The following is a 6,165-nucleotide window of genomic DNA, read 5'->3' on the forward strand; positions in this document are numbered from 1 at the left end:
ACCCAGAGATCCAAAATAGCAGTGGCATATGAAAGAGAGAGGTTTCTTTTTTCCCATGTGAAAATGCAGGGAGAAGCCTGGCACAGTGGCTCACGCCTGTAATCCCAGCACTTTGGGAGCCTGAGGCAGAAGGATCACTTGAGGCCACGAGTTTGAGACCAGCCTGGGCAACATAGCAAGACCAGATCTCTACCAAAAAATATATACATATAATTGCAATTAGCTAAGTGTGGTGGCACACACCTGTAGTCTTAGCTACTCTGGCTGAGGTGGAAGGATCTCTTGAACCCAGGAGTTTGAAGCTACAGTGAGCTATGATCACACCTCTGCACTCCAGGCTGGGTGACAGAGCAAGAGCCTACCTTTTTAAAAAAAAAAAAAAAAAAAAAAAAAAAAAGGTGGTGGGGAAGGTAGGCAGCTCAGAGCTGGTATGGTAGCTCCACAACTGTCGGAACAATGCTAGGATGGTTTCTCATTTGTCATTCTGCCAGCATCAACACACAGCTTCTAACTTATTATCCAAGACTGTTTCAAGAGCCCCCGCCATCCCATTCTCCTTCCCATCACCAGGAAGAAGGAAAAGGGGAAAAGGGAGGGTATTCCTCTCAAGAGTCCAGTGTGCAGACTGGCTCCTCACTTCCTCCTCATTCCATCCGTAGAATGAGTTGAAATGTACTCTTTACTGTATTCCCTTCTATCTGAGCATCATTTAAAACTTTGAAGCAACTTCTTACATTCTGTTTTTTCTCCAGTCTCCCTAAAGCCGCCAAGTTGGCTAGAAAACATCTTAAGCTGGAAAACCGTGGGTCCAACTACAAAGTGCACTGTTCCATGACAGGGCAGTCTGGATATTGGGACTACCTGCGGCAGTCACATCACCTCAGCTCAAGTATTGAGAGAGGTAGAAAACAGGAACTGGTTAAGATTTCAAAACATCCTGCCATGCTCATCATCCCAAGTTGTGATTCTTTGCTTACAAGCTCTTCTCTCCCATTTATCTCAGTGTTCTTAAGGCCACTGACCCAGAATTTACTTTTCTGTTCGTGACCCCTCTGGCCTGAGCCTCGCAGAGTCCCTGGCTTATGGCAGATGCTCAATAAATGTTTATTTGCAGCATCCTACATCATGCACTGACTTAGCACATTTTTGAGTGCCTACTATTCATTAAGCTAAAAATCTCCCCATTCTCTGTCATCTCAAAGGCACTTTTCTTGGGCAACACTCTCAAGCCTCTGTGAAGTCCACTTTATGAATTTAGAAGAGTTTCCATGGAAGAAAACATATTCTCAAGTACAGAAATCAAGATGAAAGCTGTGGCTGCATTCTCTTGGTCTAGGCATCAGTTAGGATGACATTTTTCTGAAGACTGAGGACTAAGCTCTGATTTTTTTTTATCTTGCCCAAATTCCTATCTAGGAACTCGAGGGAGTTATTCCCTACAAACCATAAATTCTCATCAGATGGGTTTTATTTAACCCCATATATCATGGCTTACTTTCCAATCTGACCCTGGCATAACATTATGAGATAAGGAAGAAAATCAAAATGTTTTATCCCAAAATATATTTCCCTGCCATACCTCGAAATTGCCCTGCAAAGTCTCTTGTGGGAAAAATTCACAGTCTATAGAGAATCCCCTTTCCCCTTTGTTTTCCTTCCTTTCCAGATCCAGGAGATAATCAACTAAGAGCCAGGTACCCTTTTAGGTCTGATAAGAAACATTTTACAACCTGCTCTCTCTCTCTCTGAAGGCTGACTATCTGAGTTTCCTCTGCATAATAAAACTTGGTCTCCACAATCCTTTATCTTAACCTAAACATTTCCTTTTATCCCAGGTCTTCAGATAAATTCAACCAATTGTTAGCCAGAAAATGTTTAAATTTACCTACAGCCTGGAAGCCCCCGCTTTGAGTTGTCCCGCCTTTCTGAATGAAACCAATGTACTTCTTAAGTGTATTTGATTGATGTCTCATGTCTCCCTGAAATATATAAAACCAAGCTGTAACCCAACCACCTTAGGCACTGGTTCCCAGGATCTCCTGAGGGCTGTGTCATGGGCCATGGTCATTCATATTTGGCTCAGAATAAATCTCTTCAAATATTTTACAGAGTTTGACTCTTCTCATTGACAAGACAATGGTGGCTTTAAAAAGAAATAGAATTTTCAGCCAGGCACGGTGGCTCACGCCTGTAATCCCAGCACATTGGGAGGCTGAGGTGGGTGGATCATGAGCTCAGGAGTTCAAGACCATCCTGCCAACGTGGTGAAACCCCCAAACAATTAGCTGGGCATGGCAGTGCATGGCTGTAGTCCCAGCTACTCGGGAGGCTGAGGCAGGGGAACCGCTTCAACCTGGGAGGCGGAGGTGGCAGTGAGCTGAGATTGCACCACTGCATTCCAGCCTGGTGACAGAGCAAGACTCCGTCAAAAAACAAAAAAACAAAAAACAGAAAATAAAAGAAAAAATATATAGTTTCTTGTTTTCAAGTAAAAGTTCAAATATAGCCAGACCAGGGTTGAGAAGGTGGTTCTGGGCAGTAAGTTCTCATACACCCAAGTTGTTTCCAGGTTGTTACCCCTTGAGTGTAGCCCTAGTCCTCGTGGTCCAAAATAATGATTAGAGCTCCAGCCATCACAGGTATCTTCAGGTAGCAGGATGGAAGAAAGGACAGAGTGCAGGGGTAAGGCCATTCATCAGCTCTGTTTTAGGAACTGTTGCTGGAAGCTGCCACACAAAATTTCCACTCCTATCTTAAGTGTCCAGAATCTAGCCACACAAACATATCTAGCTGCAAGGGAGACTGAGAAATGGAGTATTAACTCTGAGTAGCCATATGTAATTTTGCTATTACTGTCAAAGGCGTTTGAACTAGAGTGACTCCATCTTGAATTGGGGCTGAGTAAAATAAGGCTGAGCTCTACTGGGCTACATTCCCAAGAGGTTAGACATTCTTAGTCATCGAATGAGATAGGAGCTCAGCATAAGATACAGGTCACAAAGACCTTGCAGATAAAAGAGGATGCAGTAAAGAAGCCTGCCAAAACCCACCAAAACCAAGATGGCAATGAAAGTGACCTCTGGTTGTCCTCACTGCTCATCACACGTTAGTTATAATGAATTAGCATGCTAAGAGACATTCCCGCTAGCACCATGACAGTTTACAAATGCCATGGCAATGTCAGGAACTTACCCTACATGGTCTAAAAAGGAGAGAAACCCTCAGTGCCAAGAATTTCCCACCCCTTTCCTGGAAAACTCATGAATAATCCACCCCTTGTTTAGCATATAATCAAGAAATATCTATAAGTATACTCAGTCAAGCAGCCCATGCTGCTGCTCTGCCTATGGAGTAGCTATTCTTTTATTCTTTCATTTTCTTAATGAGCTTGCTTTCATTTTAATCTGTGAACTCACCTTGAATTCTTCCTTGCACAAGGTTCAAGAACCCTCCCTTGGGGTCTGTATTGGGACCTTTTTCCGGTAACATTACTACAGAATAAAAGAGAGTAGATGTTGGGAAAGGCAGACTAGCAGCCTCTGCCACAGTGAGTTGATTTGTTCTAGATTAATGTTGAGAAAGTATTTGAGGAATTGAAACATGCTCATTACTTTATTCCCTTCATTCTAAGCATCATTTAAAATTTAAAGGCAACTTCTTGCATTCTGTTTCTTTTGCAGTCCCTGCATGTAAAGGGGTTGTCAGCGATGGTGTCACTCAGTGGCATATCTTCTTGATGTTCCCCACAGCCAGAGGATTCTCTGGGCTTGGAGGCACCTCCCCTGCTGCTCTTCAACAATTTAGCAATCAGTGGAGACTGGGAAATAAAGGAGCAAGAGAAGCACTGGATAAGAGGGAATAGCAAATGCGAAAAGGAAAACCACAGGGGGGTGATGGTTCATTGGAAAGTATAAATTATTCATCTCATGAGCTTCTTCTCAAAGGATAAAGTTTCAATCTGCTTGGGTTTTAATTACAGCAAATCCCATGCCTAAAGGGGTATTTGATCCGAGGCAAAATTGAGCCAGTAAATTACCACCAGGGCATATGGAAAATTTGTAAGTCAAAGAAGAAACACAGGAGCCTTGGGGACCTATAGATACCAGCTACCTGTTTTTATAGTTTGAGAAAATGTTAGTTATAACCAGGAATTTATGGGTCTGATTAACTCACCCAACACCAGATTATTTGATTATTTAATAAACCCTAAGGGACCAAAAATAACTCTGCGTCTAGAACAGGACTTTTCAACCTCAGCCCTATTGCCATTTGGGACTGGATAATTCTTTCTTGAGGGGATCAGTGCATTGTAGCATGCAGCATCACTGGCTTCTACCCAATAGATGTCAGTAGCAGCCCCCAGGAATGACAACCAAAATGTCTCCAGACATTGCCACATGTCCCCTGGGGCAAAACAGACTCCACTTAAGAACATTGGCCTTGATCCTGTAGACCAAAAACTATCTGAGACAGTTCTCCATCAACCTGGAGAGTTTATATTGCCAAGGTTAAATATGCTCTTGTTAAACAGCCACAGGAGGTCCAGAGGACATGTGCCCAAGGTGGTCAGGGCACAGCTTGGTTTTATACATTTTAGGGAGACATGAGATATCAATCAATATATGTAAGATGTACATTGGTTCAGTCAGGAGAAGTGGGACAACTCTAAGCAGAGAGGGTGCTTCCAAGTCATAGGTAGATAAGAGACAAAGAGTTGCATTCTTCTGGGTTTCATTTTTTTTTTTTTTCCTTCCCAAGACAGAGTCTAGCTCTGTCACACAGGCTGGAGTGCAGTGGCATGATCTCAGCTCACTGCAACCACCACCTCCTGGGTTCAAGCAATTCTGCCTCCTCAGCCTCCTGAGTAGCTGGGACTACAGGTGTGTGCCACCACACCCAGCTAATTTTTGTATTTTTAGTAGAGATGGGGTTTCACCAGGTTGCCCAGGCTGGTCTCGAACTTCTGACCTCAGATGATTCACCTGCCTCAGCCTCCCAAAGTGCTGAGATTACAGGTGTAAGCCACTGTGCCTAGCCTCTTTTGAGCTTCTGATTAGCCTTTCACTGAATACACAATTTATAAGAATCATTACTTATGCCTTAGTCTGGCTTAGTGAGACAATAGGGCAAAGGAAGCAATCAGATATGCATTTGTCTCACCAGAGCAGAGGGATGACTTTGAGTTCTGTCTGTCCTTTTTCCATAAGGAATTTCCTGGTGGGCAAATTGTGAGGGAGGTATGTAGCTTTTTTATCTTTGTAGCTACCATATTTAGGATAGAATGGGAGGCAGATTTGCCCCCACAGTTCCCAGCTTGTCTTTTCCCTTTGGCTTAGTGATTTTGTGGTCCTGAAATTTATTTTCCTCTCACAATCTTCTTATAATTTTTAAACAGAGACTCAAAGCTGACAACTATGTGCTTGGGTTTTATTCAGAGACCACTGTATTATTTTAATTCAATTTTCACTTCCTTGTTCATTCATTAATTCATTTGGTGACCTTGGAATTGCAGGAGTGGTGTTGGAGATAAAGCTCAGAGTCATAAAGAAACTGAGCATGCAAACAAAGAGTTCCTCAGCAAGGCAAGTTTGCTTTCTGCAGAAAGGGTGCTGTTCGCAGATCTGATCACCACGAGAGCACACAGAACAAAGGAAAGCAGGGGGTTTTATTCCTAATGCAATGGGTTTCTACTACTGTGTCCTGTCTCCATTGGTTGGAGCTGGACCACACAATCTAAACTGGTCCCAGCTGGCTAATTTGAAGTGTGCAGGGAGGGGGTTACACTGGCAGGAAGGGCAGTTTTGGCGGGAAGAGCCATTATGGCTGGAGGGGTAATCTGCAGAGTGAGTGACTAAGGGAAACGAGCAAGAAACAGATGTGGACTATAGATTAGGACCGGTAGGAAGGTTGTTTACTGCAACCAGGGGCAAGGAGACATGAAGAACAAGGAAGTTAACATGCCAAACTTTTGAAGAGGAGCTGACTGTATCTGACAAGTGACCAAGGCAGGGAAGGTCCCTGCCCTCACCAAGCTTACCTGGCACTAAGCATGCACTGGGCCTCTATAGGCCCTGTATAAGGATTGTCATGTTTCATTCCCACAACTGCCTCCAAAAGCCTGTATTAATGTTACTCTTGTTTCACAGACAATGTAACTGAGGCTTA

General features: G+C 43.4%; 1 annotated feature.

Moving 5' to 3' along the window:
- Positions 3,588 to 4,112: an enhancer, noted in NCBI's record as "NANOG hESC enhancer chr20:54792881-54793405 (GRCh37/hg19 assembly coordinates)". NCBI's record gives its function as "activates a minimal SCP1, AML or CMV promoter by ChIP-STARR-seq in naive H9 embryonic stem cells {active_cell/tissue: H9 hESC(naive)}" and the evidence as "EXISTENCE:reporter gene assay evidence [ECO:0000049][PMID:30033119]".

Source organism: Homo sapiens, chromosome 20, assembly GCF_000001405.40.
Source record: "Homo sapiens chromosome 20, GRCh38.p14 Primary Assembly".
Taxonomy (NCBI): domain Eukaryota; kingdom Metazoa; phylum Chordata; class Mammalia; order Primates; family Hominidae; genus Homo; species Homo sapiens.